Raw genomic sequence first — 23,440 nt, forward strand, 5'->3', positions numbered from 1 at the left:
ATAGCTTGAACCCAAGAGGCGGAGGTTTTAGTGAGCCGAGATCACGCCATTGCACTCCAGCCTGGGCAACAAAAGAGAAACTCCATCTCAAAAAGAAAAAAAAAGGAAAGAAAATTCCAGCCAGGTACAGTGGCTTGTACCTGTAATCCCAGCACTTTGGGAGGCCAAGGCAAGCGAGTCATCTGAGGTCAGGAGTTCGAGACCAGCCTGACCAACATGGAGAAACCCCGTCTCTACTAAAACTACAAAATGAGCTGGGCGTGGAGGCGGGCGCCTGTAATCCCAGCTACTTGGAAGGCTGAGGCAGGAGAATCGCTTAAACCCGGGAGGCGGAGGTTGCGGTAAGCCGAGATTGTGCCGTTGCACTCCAGACTGGGCAACAAGAGTGAAACTCTGTCTCAAAAAAAAAAAAAAAAAAAAAGAAAAAAGAAAATTCCGCAGGGATCACCAACCAAACAAACAAACAAAAAACGATTCCACTACTATAGAAAAAATTATGTTGATGGGATAGTTTTGCTTTCAAATACAATAGGCAGCTGGCTGAATATGCATAAAATAACCTCCAAGCAACATAGCACCTTATAAAGAGAGTCAATACACTTTAAACATAATCACATCTTTTTTTTTTTTTTTTTAATATTTTGGTGTCAGGGAATCACTCTGTCATGCAGGCTGGAGTACAGTGGCACAATCATAGCTTACTGCCTCTTCCAGCTCCTGGACTCAAGTGATCCTCCCACCTCAGCCTCCCAAGTAGCCAACCACGCCCCGCTAATTTTTTTTATTTTTTTAAGATGGAGTCTCGCTTTGTCGCCCAGTCTGGAGTGCAGTGGCGCAATCTCGGCTCACTGCAAGCTCCGCCTCCTGGGTTCACGCCGTTCTCCTGCCTCAGCCTCCCGAGTAGCTGGGACTACAGGTGCCCGCCACCATGCCCGGCTAATTTTTTGTATTTTTTTAGTAGAGACGGGGTTTCACCGTGTTAGCGAAGATGGTCTCGATCTCCTGACCTCGTGATCCGCCCACCTGACCTCGTGTGATCCGCCCACCTCTGCCTCCCAAAGTGCTGGGATTACAGGCATGAGCCACTGCACCTGGCCCATGTCTAGCTAATTTTAAAATGTTTTGTAGAGATGGGATCTTGCTATGTTGCCCAGGCTGGTCTTGAACTCCTGGCCTCAAGCAATTCTCCTGCTTTGGCCTCTCAAGTGCTGGAATTACAGGCATGAGCCACCACACTCAGCCCACATCCATCTTATTATTATTATTGTTATTTTTGTTTGGTTTTTTTGAGACAGGGTCTGGCTCTGTCACCCAGGCTGGAGTACAGTGACAGTCTTCGCCTACTACAACCTTTGCCTCCTAGGCTCAAGTAATTTTTCAGCCTCAGCCTCCTGAGTAGCTGGGACTACAAGTGCATGCCACCACGCCCAGCTAATTTTATTGTATTTGTTTGTAGGGAGAGAGTTTTGCCATGTTGTCCAGGCTGGTCTTGAACTCCAGTCCACTCCTTGCCCTCCCATAGTGCTGAGATTACAGGCATGAGACACCATATCTGGCCACCTCCATCTTTTTAATTCTGACATTAGCCCTATCATTATCCCACTCTTTTAGATGATGATAGTATAACATAATAGTTCAAGAATATGGACTCAGGGCTGGAATCAGACAGACCTATTTCAGTCTTAGCTTTGCCACTAACTATCTTACCTTTGTCAAGTTACTTAACTTTTGTCTGTGCCAGTTTCCTCATTTATAAAATAAAGATAATCCTTGGCCAGGCACGGTGGCTGACGCCTGAAATTCCAACACTTGGGAGGCCAAGGAGGGTGGATCACTTGAGGTCAGGAGTTAGCCTGGCCAACATGGTGAAACCCCGTCTCTACTAAAAATACAAAAAATAGCCAGGTGTGGTGGCACGGGAGTTACTCGGGAGGCTGAGGCAGAAGAATCACTTGAACCCAGGAGGCGGAGGTTGCAGTGAGCCGAGATCACGCCACTGCACTCCAGCCTGGGCGACAAAGTAAGACTCCATTTCAAAACAAACAAAACAAAACAAAAATAATAAAAGTAAAGATAATCCAGTACCAACCTCATGTTTTTTGTGAGGATCAAATAAAATAATGGATGTGAAGTACTTAGCACAGAACATACCACTCAATATGCTGGCGCTGTTGTCGTGGGAGTGGTAGAGATAGTGACAATGATGACTAAGAAGATGCACCAGAAGATAACTAGGGGCTGAGCGCAGTGGCTCACACATATAATCCCAGCACTTTGGGAGGCTGAGGTGGGCAGATCACCAGAGGTCAGGAGTTCCAGACCAGCCTGGCCAACATTGTGAAACCCTGTGTCTGCTAAAAATATAAAATTAGCCAGGCATGGTGATGCATGCCTGTAATCCCAACTACTCGGGAGGCTGAGGCAGGAGAACCACTTGAACCCGGGAGGCGAAGGTTGCAGTGAGCTGCGATCGTGCTATTGCGCTCCAGCCTAGGTGACAGAACGAGACTCTGTCTCAAAAAAAAAAAAAAAAAAAAGTAACTAGTGATTTCTGAAGGTATGGAATTTGGCCAGGTGCAGTGGCTCACACCTGTATTCCCAGCACTTTGGGAGACTGAGACAGGAGGATTGCTTGAGGCCAGGAGTTCACAACCAGCCTGAGCAACACAGCATGACTCCATCTCTATAAAACATTAAAAAATTAGTAGCACACCGGTAGTCCCAGCTACTCAGGAGGCTAAGGTGGGAAGACCACTTAAAGCACAGGAGTGTGAGGCTGCAGTGAACTATGATCACACCACTGCTCTCCAGCCAGTGACAGAGTGAGAACCTGTCTCTAGAAAAATATGTTTAAAAAAAGGTATGGAATTTGCCCAAGGTCATACAGCAAGCAAGGAGCAGAGCTAGAATTTCAATCCCAGTTTGACTCTTTAAACCTGACTTTAACTTCAAGGCAATACTGTCTCCCACAGCCCTCAAATACTTCATTCTCATTTTACAGCTCGAGCCAGACAAGCCTGAAAGCCTGTTGGGCCTTTTGCCCAAGCTCACAGAATACTGCACCAAGATTCAGTGACTCCTATTACAGTGCTCATTAATTGCATGGTAATCAACACTACTGGTGAACAAGGGTAGTTTATTCGCTTATTCATTAACTCATCCAAATCTAGAATTCTATAAAAGTACATAAACACTTTCCAAAGGATTTTGCCCAAAGGATATATAGGCTAGCAGTGTCCTCCTAGGAGAATAGACCAACATAAATCTAAATATCATCTCAAAGATTTCACTTGAGTGTATGATAAGTATTTAAAGCCTTGATGATTTCAGCTGATCAACTTCAAACCCAAATGCCCCTTTTCTTATCTGGCAAAACAAAATAATAAACAAAAACCCTTTGCATCTATTAGGTTCCATTTGTTAATTAACATATAATTGGCGTACAGTAAACTGCACATATTTAAAGTGTGTGATTTAATGAGTTTTGACATACATATACAAATGTGAAACCATCACCACAATCAAAATAGGGAAAGAGCCATCGCCCCAAAAGTTTCTTCATGCTCCTTTATACTCCGTCCCTCTCATCCTTTCCTGCCTGCCTGCCTCTATCCCCAGGTAACCACTACAGATTAGTCTGCATTTCTAGAATTTCATAGAAATGGAGTCTTACAGTATATACTCCTGTTTGTCTGGTTTCTTCCACTCTGCATAAATCCATGTTGTGAGTACCAACGGTTCATTCGTTTTTGTTGCTGAGTAATACTCCATTGTATGGATGTACCACATTTGTTTATCCATTCACCTGCTGACGGACATTTGGATTGTTTCCAGCTTTGGGCAATCACAAATAAAGCTGACTTGAACATTCACGTTCAAGTCTTTGTGTGGTGTGGGGCGGGGTGGAGAGGGAGTACTTAAAAGCAAACACAATGAAATATGAGAAGCACTAACCAAAATGCTTAAATTTAAAATGAACTTCAACTGTGGAGTAAGAAATATCTTAGCCACCTTGGGTAAGTCAATCAGCTTCTCTGTCAATACTCTTATATACGATGCCTGCTTGTTCCCAACCGCAGTTTGTAAAGAAAAATGGAATAGGAAGCAGAATGCTTTTGGAATTCTCACAAGTAAGCTATTCCTTCTTTTCCCCCTCTTAAATTCCCTTTATCTTAAAAAGAATAATGTTCTATGAAATGCAATGCAAAATGCAATAACATTTGAGATGTTATTTTTGAGTTATTGCTTTTTTATTTCTCTTAAATGTATATTTATTTCAACATTTTAAAAAAATTTCCTAAGCCGGTCGTGGTGGCTCACGTCTGTAATCCCAAAACTTTGAGAGGTAGAGGCGGCTGGATCACTTGAGGTCAGCAGTTCAAGTCCACCCTGGCCAATATGGCGAAACCGCATCTCTACTAAAAATACAAAAAAAAAAAAAAAATTAGCTGGGGTGAGGGTCGCTTGTAATCCCAGCTACTTGGCAGGCTGAGGCAGGAGAATCCCTTGAACCTGAGAGGCAGAGGTTGCAGTGAACCGAGATACAGCCATTGCACCCTAGGTTGGGCAACAGAGCAGGACTCCTGTCTAAAAAAAAATAATAATAAAAATTCCTATATGCCTTTTGCTTTCCACCAGCAACATAAAATTAAAATAAATACAAACGGCTATTTTTTCTTTTTTTTTCTCTTTGCCTTTTTCCACATGTTCTAACAAATGGCTATTTTAAAGAATAAGCAAAAGCCTCACTCTGCATTCTTTTTTTTTGTTTTGTTTTGGAGATGGAGTCTCACTCTGTGGCCCAGGCTGGAGCGCAGTGGCCTGATCTCGGCTCACTGCAAGCTCCGCCTCCTGGGTTCACGCCATTCTCCTGCCTCAGCCTCCCGAGTAGCTGGGACTACAGGCGCCCGCCACCACGCCCGGCTAATTTTTTGTATTTTTAGTAGAGACGGGGTTTCACCGTGTTAGCCAGGATGGTCTCGATCTCCTGACCTCGTGATCTGCCCGCCGTGGCCTCCCAAAGTGCTGGGATTACAGGCATGAGCCACCACGCCCGGCCACACTCTGCATTCTTAATTCACTCATAGTAAGATCCAAAGCCCTCACCTACAAGGATCTACTTGATTTGTATCCCCTGCTCCCCATCTCTCCTCTCCCCTTTAGCTTACTGGGCTCAGACCTCCAAATATGCTGAGGACGCTTCCCTCTCAAGGACTTGGCTCTTGCTGTCGTCTCTGTATGGGATGTTCTTTCCCATATGGTATACTCCCTCCCTCCCTTCAGGTCTCTGCTCAAAAGCCATCCTGGGCTTTCCTTTTGTGTCCACCCTATATAAAACAGGACAGGCTGGGTGCAGTGGCTGACGCCTGTAATCCCAACTCTTTGGGAGGCGGAGGTGGGCAGATCACCTGAGGTCCGGAGTTCAAGACCAGCCTGACCAACATGGTGAAACTCATCTCTACTAAAAATACAAAAATTAGCCAGGCGTGGTGGTGCGTGCCTGTAATCTCAGCTCCTCAGGGGGCTGAGGCTGGAGAATCGCCTCAACCCGGGAGGTGGAGGCTGCAGTGAGCAGAGATGGCACTACTGCATTCCAGCCTGGGAAACAGAGCAAGAATCTCTGTCTCGAACATAAATAATTAAAAATAAGATAAAATAAAACAGGACAGTTGGCTGAGTGCAGTGACTCATGCTGAGCACTCTGGGAGTCTCAGGTGGGAAGATCACTTGAGGCCAAGAGGAATTCAAGACCAGCCTGGACAATATAGCAAGGCCCCAACTCTAATAAAAAAAAAAAATAAAACAAAAAAACGGAGCCCTCTTTCCAATGCTCTCCATCTCTTTACTGAGCTATACTTTTCTCTTTAGCACTTATCATTTGCCTCTATGTCATGTTACATATTTGTCATTGTCTATATCATCCCACTAAATTATAAGCTTTTTGAGGACAAGGATTTTATTTTATCCACTGCTATATCCCCAACATCCAGGACGGTTGGCCCAGCTCACTCTAAATTCCACCAATACTTGTTGAATGAATTAGTTGATTAAACATTATTTATTGCTTTAAAAAAAAATCTGTTTAGAAATTTACTGGGAAGAGGCCGGGTGCGGTGGCTCACGCCTGTAATCTCGGCACTTTGGGAGGCTAAGGAAAGCAGATTATTTGAGGTTAGGAGTTCGAGACCAGCCTGGCCAACATGGTGAAACCCAGTGTCTACTAAAAATACAAAATTAGCTGGGCATGGTGGCACATGCCTGTAATCCCAGCTAACTGGAAGGCTGAGGTAGAAGAATTGCTTGAACCCGTGAGGTGGAGGTTGCAGTGAGCCGAGATCGCATCACTGCACTCCAGCCTGGGTAACAAGAATAAAACTCGGTCTCAAAAAAGAAAGAAAGAAAGAAAGAAAAAGAATTTACTGGGAAGAAAAATTTTAATTCAAATACTCTGGATCTGCTTAAATTAAAATACTAAATTCATGTTGATCTACTTCTTAGGAGGGATTCTTTCTTTAGATTGACTTTGAGCAGCGCTTACAGGGTGAACAGAACACTGGAATCCAAAGGTAGAAAAGCTAGGGTCTAGTCATTGCCCTGCCACAACTAGCTATGCTATAGTGACTAAGTCATAACCTCATCTTCTGATCACTGAGATCTCCTGATCTCAGAGAACTTCTTTCTAAAATGAGGGACATTATTATCTCTAAAGTCTCTTCTGCTCTAAAATTCTAAGACTCTTTTTTTCTTTTTTTGACGGAGTCTCGCTATGTTGCCCAGGCTGGAGTGCAGTGACGCGATCTCAGCTCACTGCAAGCTCCGCCTCCCGGGTTCACACCATTCTCCTGCCTCAGCCTCCCGAGTAGCTGGGACTACAAGCGCCCGCCACCACGCCCGGCTAATTTTTTGTATTTTTTTTTTTAGTAGAGACGGGGTTTCACTGTGTTAGCCAGGATGGTCTCAATCTCCTGACCTTGTGATTCGCCCGTCTTGGTCTCCCAAATTGCTGGGATTACAGGCATGAGCCACTGCGACCGGCGTAAAATTCTAAGACGTCTATTGCACTCTTCTGCAGTAAGGTTGCCAGTCATAATTAGTCAACTTGAGTCCCGTTCCTCATAATCCGAAAGTGTTAACTGAAGGATTCTATATATTATAAAACTCTGTGGAAAATGGCCATTATTCACCCAGATGTCCACTGGAAGGAGAGGCTTGAAACACTGTATTTCATAGGTGTGGTGGTATTTCAAAAGATAGCTTTTAAAAAATTAATAAACCGGCCAGACGCTGTGGCTCACGCCTGTAATCCCAGAACTTTGGGAGGCCGAGGCGGGAGGATCACAAGGTCAGGAGATTGAGACCATCCTGGCTAACATGGTGAAACCCCGTCTCTACTAAAAATACAAAAATTAGCTGGGTGTGGCGGCATGCGCCTGTAGTCCCAGCTGCTGGGGAGGCTGAGGCAGGAGAATGGTGTGAACCCAGGAGGCGGAGCTTGCAGTGAGCTGAGATTGTGCCACTGCACTCCAGCCTGGGCGACAGAGCAAGACTCCGTCTCAAAAAAAAAAACCAAAAATTAATAGACCACGAATCTTCCTCAAATATGAAAAAGAAACAGTTACTAAAAGAAAATAGAGATTCTTCCTTCTGTAGCCAGTTATGAAATTTAAAATAATTGCAAATAAAAATACTATACATGCATGGAGGCAATAAAATATTATGATGAGGAGCAGATGTGCAGTGAACAGAACTAGGTTAACGTGCAAGCTCTTCATGTGCTCTTGAACAAGTCGAATACCTACTCTGCACTTCCTTCATCTGTACAATGAGTGCAATATTTCCAATTGTTAGGCTCTTTTGAGAATTTAATAAAATAATGCCTGACATGTAGGATACATTTAATCAATATTATTAAGTAATTAAATATGTGCTGGGCATGGTGGCTCATGCCTGTAATCCCAGCACTTTGGGAGGCCAAGGCAGGCGGATCACCTGAGGTCAGGAGTTCGAGACTTGCCTGGCCAACATGGCAAAACCTTGTCTCTACTAAAAATACAAAAATTAGCCCGGCATGGTGGTGTATGCCTGTAATCCCAGCTACTTGGGAGGCTGAGGCAGGAAAATTGCCTCAACCCGGGAGGTGGAGGTTGCAGTGAGCTGAGATGGAGCCACTGCACTCTAGCCTGGGCAACAGAGAGAGACCCTGTCTCAAAATAAAAAATAAAAAGATTTTTTATATATATATATATATATGTGAATACACCCACACAAACACAAATCTAATAGCCACAAAAACATTCTTAGCTATCTATTTCTCCTGATACCATGGAGCCTGTATAACATGGAAAGAATGAAACAAGTTATTCACTACTACCAGTCATAAATGTTTATCACCCATACACATACTAGTTGCTGAGAAATCAGACCATAAATTTAAAAAGCAATTAAAAAAAAAAATCTAGCAGGCCAGAGAGGTTCTTTCCTTTGAAAACCATTCTTCTGTGGAAATAGCTGACAAATTCACGCAATACATTTATAAACATTTTAGGAAAACCAACATCACAGATATTTTAACTAATCCTACTCTTTCTAATCCTAAAAATAAACTACATAAATGACATATATGTATAAATTTTGGTTCTGTGAACTTGGATTAGTCTTTAAGAAACAAAGAGCATAGGCACGGCATAGTGGCTCACGCCTGTAATCTCAGCACTTTGGGAAGCCAAGGCAGGCAGATCACTTGAGGTCAGGAGTTCGAGACCAGCCTGGCCAACATGGTGAAACCCTGTCTCTACTAAAAATACAAAAATTAGCCAGGCATGGTGGCGCGTGCCTGTAATCCCAGCAACTCGGGAGGCAGAGGCAGGAGAATCGTTTGAATCCGGGAGGCAGAGGCTGCAGTGGGCTGAGATCGCGCCACTGCACTCCAGCCTGGGCGACAGAGCAAGACTCGGTCTCGGGGGAAAAAAAAGAAAAGAAAGAAACAAAGAGCATCCACTTTCCACCTTTCACACACAACACAGCCAATTAAATCAAAAGATTCCACTATCATAGCATAATACCCCTTGAGTTTTCAGGCAGATAAGACACTCAGACACACCTTGCTTGTTATAGAACAGGCCCAAATGAGACACAATAAAACGATGATTCCATGTTAGGAATTCCCTACCAACCATATCCTCCTCTTTTTGGTGACTAGATTGTAAAATAAGTCAATTAAGAGTTCATAACGGAAGTGCTGAAGCAACCGCAAATCCAGACACAAAAATACAGTGGAACGTATTCGCATCTCAAGCACGTCCAAATGTCTCGGCCAATGTGATCCGATCACTGCCGTTTCCAGAAACACACAGTAATGGCTTTTAATTCATTTCTATAAATGTTCGTTGTGCGTAAAGCCAAACTGCACGCAAAACCGCAAAACACAAAAGATCCCTCGCATGCCGTTTATAGCCAGAAGATAGGCCATCCTCTCTGCGCCCTACCCCAGAAAGCTCTCCTTACGGCAGTAAAAATTTGATGACACCCCATGCTACCTACACATCAAAATGTCATCCCACAAAGTGGAAGGGGAGCAGTGTCAGCATCCGTTGGCCTCCATGAAACGACACTGCCAGTATTCCCACCTCTAGGCAAACACGAACCCAAGTGAAGTCGATGGAAAGTTCCCACCAACCAGGCATATTTGGTTCCCTTCTGCCCCCAAGGCCAAGCAGCTCAACTGATGAGATCTGCTGTTGCACCTGCCACGGCTCTGAACCCGGGATGCTTGGCGACCCCCGGGGCACACAAAAAGGCCCTGCGGCCTAACGCGCCAGTGACCCTTCCCCGAGAGTGCATGGAGGGCCGCTGGAGCATCCCTCTCGCTGTCCACAGCGCCCGCTTCCCTGACAAAGGCCCCGTGTCAATCCATCCGAGACACAACACAGAGAAGTTGCTGGATTGCCCATCGCGGACCCGCAGCTGCCACTACCCTCTCCCGGAAAAAAACCAAACCAAACCAAACAAAAAAAACAGAACTAGGGAAGAAAAGGATGGGAGGGTACACAGCGTGAAAATCAAAATGTTCCCAAAGCTAAGCAACCTGGGTGTGCCCTGGAAGTGGGTCCTGGGGGCCCGTGGGGGAGGGGAGGGAGGGCCCGGGTGGTGGCGGTGGCTCCTCTGGGGCATGAAGGCCGAGCCAGGCGCTAGCCTAATAAAATGCCGGGTGTCGGAACGCTCAAAAGAAAACCACAAATGAAATCCCCTGCGGGCGCCAGGCCCCGAGGAGGGAGGGAGGGAGAGCGGGGCGGGCGGTCCGCAGACCTGCGGCCGCGGCCCCACCTGCCCGCCCCGCGCCCACACACACCTGCCCCGGCAGCCGCCGGGAGGCGAGGCCGCGGCTGAGGCGAGGAGGGGGCCCGACCCGGGGGTGCCGGGCGAGTGGGTCAGTCCGATGGCGGGGGCCGGGGGCCGCCTCGCTCACCTCCAGGTCGGTGTCCGCGGCCTCTGGGGCCCCGAGGATCTCGCTGGGCAGCTCGGCCAGGTCGGTGACCCGGATCAGCCCGTCGTGCAGGAAGATGGTCTCTTCCTTCACCGAGAGCCACTGCGCCGAGTCAGCGGCCGCCGCCGCCGCCGCCGCCGCGGCCGCCGACGAGCCCATGGCCCCGGCTGAAGGCTTGGCGCTGAGGAGCAGACGCCCGGCCGGGGGAAACGGAGCAGGAGCCGCCGCGATCACCAGTCCATGGCAGCGGCCGCCGCGCCCGCCAGCGGCGCCCCACTTGCTGCCTCGCCCGTGCAACTCCGCCCTAGGCGGTCCGAGTCGCCATACCCCCGACCCCGGCCCGGGAGACCCCGGCCCTGCCGCCGCCGCCGCCGCCGCCGCCGCCGCCGCCCTCAGGAGCAGGATCCGCCTCTGCCGCTCGGCAACCAACTGTCAGTGAGACGCCATGTTGGGGGCGGGGCTCCCGGCATGCCTCGCGGAGCGGACAATACAGGCCCCGCCCGCCGCTCCGCCCACCGCTCCGCGGACGAGGCCACCCGGGTGGCCTGGACGTCCGCCTAGCCCTTCGCTGCCGCCTGCCCTCGGCCTGACCTCCGCCGGCCCCTTCTCCCCCTGGCCATTCAGGGTAGCCCTGGCTTTGCAGCGCGCCAGGGAAGAGGACGCCGCTTCCCCCGTCCTGTCCCTACTCAGGTGTGCACCCCTTGCTCGGGCCCGCGCCCCCACCCTGGGCAGAGCATAGAGATCACTCCTTGTTTTCACGTTTAAATGAGATGCAAGCAAAAGGCTGGCGCAGAATAGGCGCTGCACACTTGTTCATAAGCACTTGGTAGAATCACATAGTAGATGATTAATATTGACTGAAAAGTCTAGTACCCAGTAAGCACTCAAAACCTGGTGAAAATAAAGCGTCTGTCCACAATGCTTGGTGCTCAATGCCCGACACTTAATATGTGCTCCATGAGTGGCAATTCTAATTATTGCTATGTTCGTTCCATCAGTGTTCCACACTAATTGACATACACCTTAAAAATATGCTCACTAGGCCGGGTGCGGTGGCTCACACCTGTAATCCCAGCACGGAGGTCAAGGCAGAAGGACTGCTTGAGCCCAGAAGTTTGAGGCCAGCCTGGGCAACATAGGGAGACCCCATCTCTACAAAAAATAAAAATTAGCGGGGCAGGGTGGCAAGCGTCTGTAGTCCTGCTACTCGGGAGGCTGAGGCAAGAGGATCTCTTGAACTCAGGAGGTGGAGGCTGCAGTGAGCTATTATCTTGCCACTGCACTCCAGCCCGGGCGACAGAGGGAGACCCCATCCCTCCCTCCCCACCAAAAATATATATATGCCCACCAGTGCCATTTTATAAAAACAAGAAAGGAAAACTATATGTATAAAGAACAATGCATGAACAAATACACACCAGATGTTTAAGGTGAGTTGCCATGGGAGTGTGGGGCTGGTCTGGAACTACTGAGATGAGATTGTTCTCTATTACTTGTATATTTTTATCACTTAAAAAATAATAAAACAGGCCGGGCACAGTGGCTTACACCTGTAATCCCAGCACTTTGGGAGGCCAAGGTGGGCAGATCACCTGAGGTCAGGAGTTCGAGACCAGCCTGGTCAACATGATGAAACCCTGTCTCTGCTAAAAAAAATACACAAATTAGCCAGGAATGGTTGCACATGCCTGTAGTCCCAGATACTCAGGAGGCTGAGGCAGGAGAATAGCTGGAACCCAGGAGGCGGAGGTTGCAGTGAGCCGAGATCATGCCACTGCACTCCAGCCTGGGCAACAGAGCAAGACTCCATCTCAATAATAATAATAATAATAATAATAACAATAACAATAACAGGAGAACATTAAGGTGCATACCCTTTGATCCAGCAATTCAACTTTGAGGAAGTTGTCTGAAGGAAATAATCAGACTCGTAGTCAAGGATGGATATACAGGGTTGTGTAGCTCAATATTGTTTACAAAAGGAAAAACTTATCAATCTAGATGTCCAACAATATGGGGCTGGTTAACTAAAATATGATATATCCATAAGATGGAATATTATGGCCGGGCACAGTGGCTCACGTGGGTAATCCCAACACTTTGGGAGGCCAAGGCTGGCAGATCTCTTGAGCCCAGAAGCTCGAGACCCCCTTGGGCAACATGACAAAACCCCGTCACTACAAAAAATACAAAAATTAGCCAGGCGTGGTGGTGCACACCCATAGTCCCAGCTACTCAGGAGGCTGAAGCAGGAAGATCGTTTGAGCCCAGAAGGCAGAAGTTGCAGTGATTCAGCTAAGATTATGCCACTGCACTCCAGCCTGGGCAACAGAGTAAGACCCTGTCTCAAAAAAGAAGAAAAGAAGAGGAAGAGGAGGAAGAAGAGAACAATAAATCCAGCAGTTCAGAGTTGATCAGAACCATGGAAACAATAAAACAGGCAAGTGTAATGGAATGGCCATTTCATCAAATCCTCCCAAATGTCTGAGAGGGGGAGTATTATTATTCCTACTTTCAGCTGGGAAGTCAAGACTCAGTTAGATACTTTGCTCAATGTCACAAAGCCAGTAAACATCAAAGCTCAGATGTAAACCCAGGTCTGTCCGATTTTACAACTTCAGCTTCCTTATTTTGACTGTAAGAAAACTCCTTCATTCCTTTTTTTTTTTTTTTTGAGACGGAGTCTTGCTCTGTTGCCCAGGCTGGAGTGCAATGGCATGATCTCGGCTCACTGCAACCTCTTGACTCACTGCAACCTCTGCCTCCTGGTTTCAAGTGATTCTCCTGCCTCAGCCTCCCGAGTAGCTGGGATTACAGGCGTGCACCACCATGCCTGGCTAATTTTTGTATTTTTAGTAGAGACGGGGTTTTACCATGTCGGTCAGGCTGGTCTCGAACTCCTGACCTCGTGATCTACCCGCCTCGGCCTCCCAAAGTGCTGGGATTACAGGTGTGAGCCACCGCGCCCGGCCCTTCATTCCCTTTTCCAAACCTAATAACAACTATCTATCACAATTAAAAATATATATATAGGCTGGATGTGGTGGCTTGCACCTGTAATCCCAGCATTTTGGGAGGCTGAGGCAGGCAGATCACCTGCGGTCAGGAGTTCGAGAGCAGCGTGGCCAACATGGCAAAACCCTTTCTCTACTAAAAAATATATAAAAATTAGCCAGGTGTCGTGGCGTGCACCTGTAGTCCCAGCTACTCAGGAGGCTGAGGCAGGAGAATCACTTGAACCCAGGAGGCGGAGGTTGCGGTGAGCCGAGATAGCGCCATTGCACTCCAGCCTGGGCAACAAGAGTGCAACGCTGTCTCTAAATAAATAAATAAATAAATAAACAAGCAAAATTAGGTGAGCATCGTGATGTGCAGCTGTAGTCCTAGCTACTTAGAAGGCTGAGGTGGGAGGATTGCTTGAGCCCAGGAGGTTGAAGCTGCAATGAGCCATGGTTGTGTCACTGCACTCTAGCCTGGGTGACAGAGAGAGACCCTGTCTCTATTATTTATTTTATTTTATTTTTTTTGAGACAGAGTCTTGCTCTGTCACCCAGGCTGGAGTGCAGTAGTGCAATCTTGGCTCACTGCAACCTCCATCTCCTGGGTTCAAGTGATTCTCCTGCCTCAGCCTCCCGAGTAGCTGGGATTACAGGCATGTACCACCACGCTCGGCCAATTTTGTATTTTTAGTAGAGGCGGGGTTTCACCATGTTGGTCAGGCTGGTCTCAAAGTCCTGACCTCAGGTGATCCACCCACCTCGGCCTCCCAAAGTGCTGGGATTACAGGCATGAGCCACTGCGCCTGGCCCATTTTATTTTATTTATTTATTTCGAGATGGAGTTTCACTCTGTCACCCAGGCTGGAGTGCAATGGCTAGATCTTGGCTCACTGCAACCTCCGCCTCCCGGGTTCAAGTGATTCTCCTGGTTCAGCCTCCCGAGTAGTTGGGATTACAGGCACCCACCACCACACCCGGCTAACTTTTGTACGTTTAGTAGAGATGGGGTTTCACCATGTTGGCCAGGCTGGTATTTTTTCATTTTTAAAAAAATTTTTTTAGAGATGGGCTCTGCCTGTGTTGCCTAGGCTGATCTCCAACTCCTAGCCTCACGTGATATTCACACCTTGGCCTCCCCAAAGCACTGGGATTACAGGCATGAGCCACTATGACCGGCCCATCACAATTTTTAAATGCTTAGATTCAGGACTCTAACCATCTTAAATAGTTCAGATAAAATTTCTTCTATACTTAGTCTTATTTCTTCTACTCTTAATGATGTTTTAAGATCAGGAGTCAAGGTGCCCAGGAACTCTTGTCCTTCAGCCTAAGTGATGAAAACAGCACAGATCTAGGGCTTAAAGTCTTTAGACTGCATAATGAATAGTTATTTAATATTTTAGCAACAGTAATTAATTAGTCATAGGACTGCATGGCTGCCACTGCACCATGATGAGGCAGCTGATGAATTAATATTTATAGAACCCCCTCCGGAAAGGAGACCATTTAGTAGGGATTTCTAGAACAGATCAGCAAGACAAAGAAAATGCCTGGTCAAAAGAACTTTAGGTTGGAAGCTACGAGGAAGAGAATCTGTATCTAGTCTAGACAACACACACATACACACACAAGACATTCATTTATAGGAAGGAAAGATTTATGGCTTATGACTTCTTTTCTTTGGAATCGTCATTTCTACTCTTCTATTCAAGAATGGGGGATCAGGATGGGAAAAGGAGCAAGAGAAAGTGTTGGCTGGGCAACCCTAAGTTAGAAGCAGAGAAGAAATATGAGGAAAATAGGAAGAATAGCTATGACTAGGTTGGACCTCAGTTACTCCTGGGAGGCATCTCCCCAAGAGGGAGCAGCAGGCTTGTTGATGGAGATCATCTCCCTCCTGCCCCAGCTGCTGACGTGATACTCGCTAGCCCTGGCTCAAGCTGGGGCCCCTCTGGGATTTTGCAATATCTCTCCCTTCTGCTGGTTTTCTATACCAGCTGACTGTCTAAAATGACTTCGTAATCCTTCCTGGGTCCAAAAATATGTGAGTGTGGTGTGAAGATAAGTGGTCCTTGATAAACTTTATTAGAGCTTAAAGGTGGTTTTAGATGAGGCAGCCATGTTAATTTTTAAGGCCTTTCAAAACACCAAGGAAAAAATACACACACACACACACACACACACACACAGAACCTATGGGGGAGATTGATTATTTCCGTCTTACTAATTACAGTCTCAAAGAGGAAACACACACACCTACTCAAAATCTTTTTTCCAAGTGTTCTGGTAGGCCCTGTTCATATTTTTATTTCAAAGAAGATTATTTTGGCTCATGGGTGGATCTATGTGGTAACAGGGAAAAGAAATCAGATGAAAGAGATATTTGAAAACGAGGAGGGGGAAATTCTCCTTGGAGCACCACTGAATTGCTAAAACTAAAGGACGGGTCTCCACATTGATGAAAAGCCAGAAGATGAAGCAGCATTAAATGCCTTTCTCATTTGAAAAGATCATCAGCAGCAGGGAGCTCTGAAAGATGCTATGTCCTCCATCGCCACCTTGTGTGCATCACAGGCCTTGCTGCACTGGGATTTGTAGTTCAGACTTGGAAATTTGCTAACATTCGTCTCCTGCAAAAAAATTAGATTAAGAAAAAGTTGTGGCCGGGCGCGGTGGCTCACGCCTGTAATCCCAGCACTTTGGAAGGCCGAGGCGGGTGGATCACGAGGTCAGGAGATAGAGACCATCCTGGCTAACACGGTGAAACCCCGTCTCTACTAAAAATACTAGCCGTGCGCGGTGGCAGGCGCCTGTAGTCCCAGCTACTCGGGAGGCTGAGGCGGGAGAATGGCGTGAACCCAGGAGGCGGAGCTTGCGGTGAGCCGAGATCGCGCCACTGCACTCCAGTCTGGGCAACAGAGCGAGACTCCGTCTCACAAAAACACAAAAAAACAAAAACAAAAAGTTATGGCTCATGCCTGTAATCCCAGCACTTTGGGAAGCCGAGGTGGGCGGATCACCTGAAGTCAGGAGTTCGAGACCAGCCTGGCCAACAGGGCAAAACCCCATCTCTACTAAAATTACAAAATTAGCCAGGTGTGGTGGTGCGCGCCTGTAATCCCAGTTACCCAGTTACCAGGAGGCTGAGGCATGAGAATCACTTGAACCCGGGAGATGAATGTTGCAGCGAGCCGAGATTACGCCACTGCACTCCAGCCTGGGCAACCTAACGAGTCCATCTCAAAAAATAAAAATAAAAATAAAAATAAAAAAGTTGTTAGCACAAAGGAAAAGTGGACAAAAGATATTATTGAAGAGTTTTCACTCAAGGAAAAGCAAACACTGTACGTTTTTGTTCCTTCAGTATTCATTAAATGCCTACTCTGTGCCAGGCAGAGTTAGGTTTGAGGATCGAGTTCCCAAGGAGACTGGCAGCTTCCCTTTCTCATGAAAGACAGGGAGGCTGCTTGAAGGAATCATTCCAACGGGGATGAGAAGTCCGGGCACCTAGTCTGGGGGTGAGGTTCCCGGAAGATGTTGAGTTTAAAGCTGGTAACTGCTACGTATGAGTTAATGAATGTGAGGATGGTGGGGGAAACTTCAATACTATTATTCACCAAAAAAAGCACATGCAATGCAGTGTGGTGTTTGAATCATGGACTGCTTGGATTTGGTCCCAGATCTTTTGCATGTTACCATGAAGAAGTAATTCCACCTACCTGTTTCCCAGTTTTCTGGGATGATGGTGGTGGTATCTACCTTCATAAGTAAGCAAGGTTGGTTCCTTCTGAGGATTTTTTGTTTGTTTCTTTGTTTGTTTGTTTGAGACAGGGTCTCAGTCTGTTTCCCAGGCTGGAGTGCAGTGGTGCGATCTCAACTCACTGCAACTTCTGCCTCCCAGGCTCAAGTGATCCTCCCGCCTCAGCCTTCTGAGTAGCTGGGACCATGGGCATGCACCACCATGCCTGGCTAATTTTTGTATTTTTTTGTAGAGACAGGGTTTCGCCATGTTGCTCAGGCTAGTCTCGAACTCCTGAGCTCAAGCAACTGCCCACCTCTGCCTCCCAAAGTGATAGGATTAGAGGTGTGAGCCACCACACCTGGCCCTTCTGAGAGTTTTGAAAGAAGAATCTATTCCAGACCTCTCTCCATGGCTTGTAGATGACCATAGTCTTCCTATGTCTCTGTATATTGTCTTCCCTTGGTGTGTGTCTGTGTCCAAATTTGTTCGTCTCTCTCTTTTTTTTTTTTTTTTTTTGAGACAAGGTCTCACTTTGTTGCTGGAGTGCAGTGGCACGATCACGGCTCACTGCAGTCTCAGCCTGCTAGGCTCAAGTGAACCTCCCTCTTCAGCCTCCCTAGTAGCCGGGACTACAGGCATGTGCCACCACACCTGGCTAATTTTTTTTTTTTAAAGATGGGGTCTTGCTGTGTTGCCCAGGCTTGCCTACAACTGCTGGACTCAAGAAGTCCTCCCGCCTTGACCTCCCAAAGTGCTGGGATTACAAGCATGAGTCACCACACCTGGCCCAAATTTTCTCTTTTTACAAGAACATTAGTCATATTGGATTGGGCCCCCATCTTAAGGACTTCATTTTAACTTGATTCTCTCTCTCTCTGAAGACCCTGTCTCCAAATAACATTACATCCTGAGGTACTGAGGGTTAGGACTTCATCATGTAAATTTTCAAAGGGACACAGTTCAGCCCATAACAGAAATGGAGCTATGATTCCCTGAGATAGGAAGTATTAGGGAAGAAACATGTGGGGAAGGAGGGCAGAGAACCAAGAATTGGAAAGAAAAACAGTTAAAGTCATGAGACTATTCATTTATAATGATTTACATTTTATGGGATCTAATTACACTAAAGAGCTTCTGCACAGCAAAAGAAACTACCATCAGAGTGAACAGGCAACCTACAGAATGGGAGAAAATTTTTGCAATCTACTCATCTGACAAAGGGCTAATATCCAGAGTCTACAAAGAACTCAAACAAATTTACAAGAAAAAAACAACCCCATCAACAAGTGGGCGAAGGATATGAACAGACAGTTCTCAAAAGAAGACATTTATGCAGCCAACAGACACATGAAAAAAGGCTCATCATCACTGGCCATCAGAGAAACGCAAATTAAAACCACAATGAGATACCATCTCACACCAGTTAGAATGGCGATCATTAAAAAGTCAGGAAACAACAGGTGCTGGAGAGGATGTGGAGAAATAGGAACACTTTTACACTGTTGGTGGGACTGTAAACTAGTTTGACCATTGTGGAAGACAGTGTAGTGATTCCTCAGGGATCTAGAACTAGAAATACCATTTGACCCAGCCATCCCATTACTGGGTATATACCCAAAGGATTATAAGTCATGCTGCTATAAAGACACATGCACACGTATGTTTGTTGTGGCACTATTCACAATAGCAAAGACTTGGAACCAACCCAAATGCCCATCAATGATAGACTGGATTAAGAAAATGTGGCACATATACACCATGGAATACTATGCAGCCATAAAAAATGATGAGTTCATGTCCTTTGTAGGGATATGGATGAAGCTGGAAACCATCATTCTCAGCAAACTATCACAAGGACAAAAAACCAAACACCACATGTTCTCACTCATAGGTGGGAATTGAACAATGAGAACACTTGGACACAGGAAGGGGAACATCACACACCGGGGCCTGTTGTGGGGTGGGGGGAGGGGGGAGGGGGGAGGGATAGCATTAGGAGACATACCCAATGTAAATGGTGAGTTAATGGGTGCAGCACACCAACATGGCAAATGTATACATATGTAACAAACCTGCACGTTGTGCACATGTACCCTAGAACTTAAAGTATAATTAAAAAAAAAAAAAAAATATATATATATATAAAGATTTACATTTTAAAATAAAATAGGCTGGCTGTGGTGGCTCAAGCCTGTAATCCCAGCACTTTGGGAGGCTGAGGTGGGCGGATCACTTAGGCCAGGAGTTTGAGACCAGCCTGGCCAACATGATGAAACCCCGCCTATACTAAAAAAAAATACAAAAATTAGCCGGGCATGGTGGCGGACCCCTGTAATCCCAGCTGCTTAGGAGGCTGAGGCACTAGAATCACTCCAACCCAGGAGGTGGAGGTTGCAGTGAGCGGAGATCGTGCCACTGCACTCCAGCCTGGTCGACAGAATGAGGCTCGGTCTCAGAAAAATAAATAAATCAAACAAAAACAAAACAAAAAATAATTTGCATTGTATACTCTCACTTGTCACCTGCTTCAGGTCATCTCAGGCCAGTGCCCATCTTTATATGCATATAAAAACATAGATATATAAAGACATATATATATATATATATATATATATAAAGACATATATATATAAAGACATATATATATAAAGACATATATATATATAAAGACATATATATATGTCTTTTTTCGTATACTTGTTGGACATTTATATATATATATATGGGGTAGAAATGCAATTACATTACATGAGAAGTGGTCAAGTCAGGGCTTTTAGGGTATCTGTCATCCAAATAGTATACATTGTACCCATTATGTAATTTCTCATCATCTACCCCCTAACACCCCCTCATCCTTCTGATCTCCAGTATCTATCATTCTACTCTCTATGTCCATGTGTACACCTTTTTTAGCACTGACTTAGGAATGAGAACATGCAATGTCTATTTTTCTTTTTTTTTTTTTTTGAGACAAAGTCTCACTCTGTGACCCAGACCGGAGAGCAGTGGCGCGATCTCGGCTCACCGCAATCTCAGTTCAAGCCATTCTTGTGCCTTAGCCTCCCAAGTAGCTGGAACCACAGGGACATGCCACCACGCCTGGCTAAATATTTTGAATTTTTAGTAGAGACAGGGTTTCACCATGTTGGCCAGGCTAGTCTCGAACTTTTTTTTTGAGACAGAGTTTCGCTCTGTCGACCAGGCTGGAGTGCAGTGGTGCAATCTTGGCTCACTGAAACATCCATCTCCGGGGTTCAAGCAACTCTCCTGCCTCAGCCTCCCAAGTAGCTGGGATTACAGGTACATGCCACCACACCCAGCTAATTTTTACATTTTTAGTAGAGATGGGGTTTTACCATGTTGGCCAGGCTGGTCTCAAGCTCCTGACCTCAGGTGATCTGCCCACCTTGGCCTCCCAAAATGCTGGGATTACAAGTGTGAGCTACTGTGCCTGGCCCACAGATATTTTCTTTCATTGTGTGTGTTGTTGGTTCATTATCTTGATTATTTCTTTTGCTGTACAGAAGCTTTTTGGTTTAAGTCCTGTTTGTCTGTTTTTGTTGTCTGTGCTTCTGAGATCTTAGGCATACAATGCCCATCTTCATCTCAGCAAGCCACCCTGACTGCTTGCAGTTTCTTTAACAATTGTACCATTTTCCTACCTCTAGGCCTTTGCACTTGCTGTTCCCCCTGCCAGAATGCCCTTCGCCACCTGCTTCACTTGGCAAACTCCTACCTATTCTCCAGTTATCAGCTTCCTCGTAGAGGACATCTGATTCCCCCAAACACAATAGGTCCTCCTGTTTCTCAGTCATTTTTGCACACTATTTCTTTTCATAGTAGTACTTATCTTAACTGCAATCAAATGTATATGGTTTGGATGTTTATTCCTTTTATGTCTCATGTTGAAATATGATTCCCGGGGTCGGGCACAGTGGCTCACACCTGTAATCCCAGCACTTTGGGAGGCTGAGGCGGACAGATCACTTAAGGTCAAGAATTCAAGACCAGCCTTGCTAACATGGTGAAACCCTGTCTGTACTAAAAATACAAAAATTAGCTGGTCTTGGTGGCAGGCGCCTGTAATCCCAGCTACTTGGGAGGCTGAGGCACGAGAATCACTTGAACCTGGGAGACAGAGGTTGCAGTGAGCTGAGATTGCGCCACTGCACTCCAGCTTGGGCAACAGAGAGACACTCTATCTCAAAAAAACGATCAAAAAACCTCTGGGTGTGGTGGCTCATGCCTGTAATCTCAGCACTTTGGGAGGCTGAGGCGGGTGGATCACCTGAGGTCAGGAATTCAAGAACAGCCTGAGCAATATGGTGAAACCCTGTCTCTACTAAAAATACAAAAATTAGCCTGACGTGGTGGCATGTGTCTGTAGTTCCAGCTACTCGAGAGGCTGAGACAGGAGAATTGCTTGAACCCAGAAGGTGGAGGTTGCAGTGAGCCAAGATCGCGCCACTGCAATTCAGCCTGGGTGACAGAGCAAGACTCCGTCTCAAACAAAACAAAAACAACAACAAAAAGAGATATGAAAAATATGATTTCCAGTGTTGGAGGTGGGGCCTGGTGGGAGGTGATTGGATCATGGGGAAGATGCCTCGTGAATGCTTTAGCACCCTTGATGATAATTAAGTTCTCACTCAGTTTATACTAGATCTGGTTGTTAAAAATTCTAGGACCTCTCCCCACCTCTTACTCTCTCTCTTGCCATTTGATACACTGCTCCCCTTCACCTTCCACCATGATTGTAACCTTCCTGAAGCTTTCACCAGAAGCTGATGTTAATTCCACGCTTCCTGTACAGCCTGCAGAACTGTGAGCCAAAATAAACACTCTCTCTTTATAAATTACTTAGCCTTGGCCAGGTGTGGTGGCTCACACCTATAGCCCCAGCACTTTTGGGAAGCTGAGGTGGGCAGATCACTTGAGCCAAGGAGTTCAAGACCAGCCCAGGCAACATGGTGAAACCTATCTCTACAAAAAGAAAAAAAAAATAGAAATTAGCTGGACTTTGTGGTGCATGCCTATAGTCCCAGCTACTCAGGAGGCTGAAAAGCAGGAGGATCGCTTGAGCCCAGAAAGCTGAGGCTGCAGGGAGCTGTGATGGACCCACTGCACTCCAGCTTGGGTGACAGAGTGAGACGTTATCTCAAAAAAAATATCAAATAAACAAAATTACCCAGCCTCAGGTACTTCTTTCCCATTCATAAATGCCTCCAACTGTGGTAGTATAAAGTGAGTTAAAAGTATATACTTTAGGCTGGGTGTAGTGGCTCATGCCTGTAATCCCAGCACTTTGGGAGGCCAAGACAGGTGGATCACTTGAGGTCAGGAGTTACAGACCAGCCTGGCCAGCATGGTGAAACCCCATCTCTACTAAAAATACAAAAACATTAGCTGGGCGGATGAGCACGGTGGCTCACGCCTGTAATCCTAGCACTTTGGAAGGCTGAGGCAGGTGGATCACCGAACATCAGGAGTTTGAGACCAGCCTGGCCAACATGGTGAAACCCCATCTCTACTAAAAATACAAAACTTAGCCAGACATGGTGGCAGGGCGCCTATGATCCCAGCTACTTGGGAGGCTGAGGCAGAAGAATCACTTGAACCTGGGAGGCAGAAGTTACAGTAAGCCAAGATTGAGTCACTTCACTCCTGCCTGGGCGAAAGAGCAAACTCTGTCTCAAAAGAAAGAAAGAAAGAAAAAAAAATTAGCTGGGCATGGTTGGTGTGCACCTGTAATCCCAGCTAGCTACTCAGGAGGCTGAGACACAAGTATCGCTTGAACCTGGGAGGCAGAGGTTGCAGTGAGCTGAGATCACCCTACTGCAGTCCAGCCTGGGTGACAGAGTGAGACTCTGTCTCAGGAAAAAAAAAAAAAAAAAAAAAAAGTATTTACTTTAATGTTGAAAGCAGTATGGCAGTTCCTTTAAAAATTAAACATAGAGGCTGGGTGCAGTGGCTCACGCCTGTAATCCCAGCACTTTGGGAGGCCGAGGCGGGCGGATCACCTGAGGTCAGGAGTTCGAGACCAGCCTGGCCAACATGGGGAAATACTATCTCTACTAAAAATACAAAATTAGCAGGGCATGGTGGCACATGCCTGTAATCCTAGCTACTCGGGAGGCTGAGGCAGGAGAATCGCTTGAACCTGGGAGGTGGTGTTTGCGGTGAGCCGAGATTGCACCATTGCACTCCAGCCTGCGC

At 46.4% G+C, this 23,440-nt stretch overlaps 1 protein-coding gene across 2 annotated transcripts in view, besides 6 other annotated features; it reads right to left on the bottom strand.

Annotated features, from left to right (window-relative positions):
- Positions 1 to 10,945, bottom strand: part of HECTD4 (HECT domain E3 ubiquitin protein ligase 4) — a 222,237-nt gene extending 211,292 nt beyond the window's left edge. For both annotated transcript variants that reach the window (NM_001388303.1, NM_001109662.4), the window contains exon 1: positions 10,466 to 10,945. In NM_001388303.1, coding sequence (NP_001375232.1) covers positions 10,466 to 10,642 — 177 coding nt within the window. In that variant the 5' untranslated portion in view covers positions 10,643 to 10,945. The remainder of the gene's footprint in view (positions 1 to 10,465) is intronic.
- Positions 8,903 to 9,403: an enhancer, noted in NCBI's record as "H3K4me1 hESC enhancer chr12:112818193-112818693 (GRCh37/hg19 assembly coordinates)". NCBI's record gives its function as "activates a minimal SCP1, AML or CMV promoter by ChIP-STARR-seq in primed H9 embryonic stem cells {active_cell/tissue: H9 hESC(primed)}" and the evidence as "EXISTENCE:reporter gene assay evidence [ECO:0000049][PMID:30033119]".
- Positions 10,096 to 10,585: a silencer, noted in NCBI's record as "silent region_4883". NCBI's record gives its function as "represses an Ori minimal core promoter by ATAC-STARR-seq in GM12878 lymphoblastoid cells {active_cell/tissue: GM12878}" and the evidence as "EXISTENCE:reporter gene assay evidence [ECO:0000049][PMID:35858748]".
- Positions 10,589 to 11,088: an enhancer, noted in NCBI's record as "H3K27ac hESC enhancer chr12:112819879-112820378 (GRCh37/hg19 assembly coordinates)". NCBI's record gives its function as "activates a minimal SCP1, AML or CMV promoter by ChIP-STARR-seq in naive H9 embryonic stem cells {active_cell/tissue: H9 hESC(naive)}" and the evidence as "EXISTENCE:reporter gene assay evidence [ECO:0000049][PMID:30033119]".
- Positions 10,589 to 11,265: a biological region, named in NCBI's record as "H3K27ac hESC enhancer GRCh37_chr12:112819879-112820378".
- Positions 10,596 to 10,865: a silencer, noted in NCBI's record as "silent region_4884". NCBI's record gives its function as "represses an Ori minimal core promoter by ATAC-STARR-seq in GM12878 lymphoblastoid cells {active_cell/tissue: GM12878}" and the evidence as "EXISTENCE:reporter gene assay evidence [ECO:0000049][PMID:35858748]".
- Positions 10,976 to 11,265: a silencer, noted in NCBI's record as "silent region_4885". NCBI's record gives its function as "represses an Ori minimal core promoter by ATAC-STARR-seq in GM12878 lymphoblastoid cells {active_cell/tissue: GM12878}" and the evidence as "EXISTENCE:reporter gene assay evidence [ECO:0000049][PMID:35858748]".

This window comes from Homo sapiens, chromosome 12, assembly GCF_000001405.40.
Source record: "Homo sapiens chromosome 12, GRCh38.p14 Primary Assembly".
NCBI classification, from domain to species: Eukaryota; Metazoa; Chordata; class Mammalia; order Primates; family Hominidae; genus Homo; species Homo sapiens.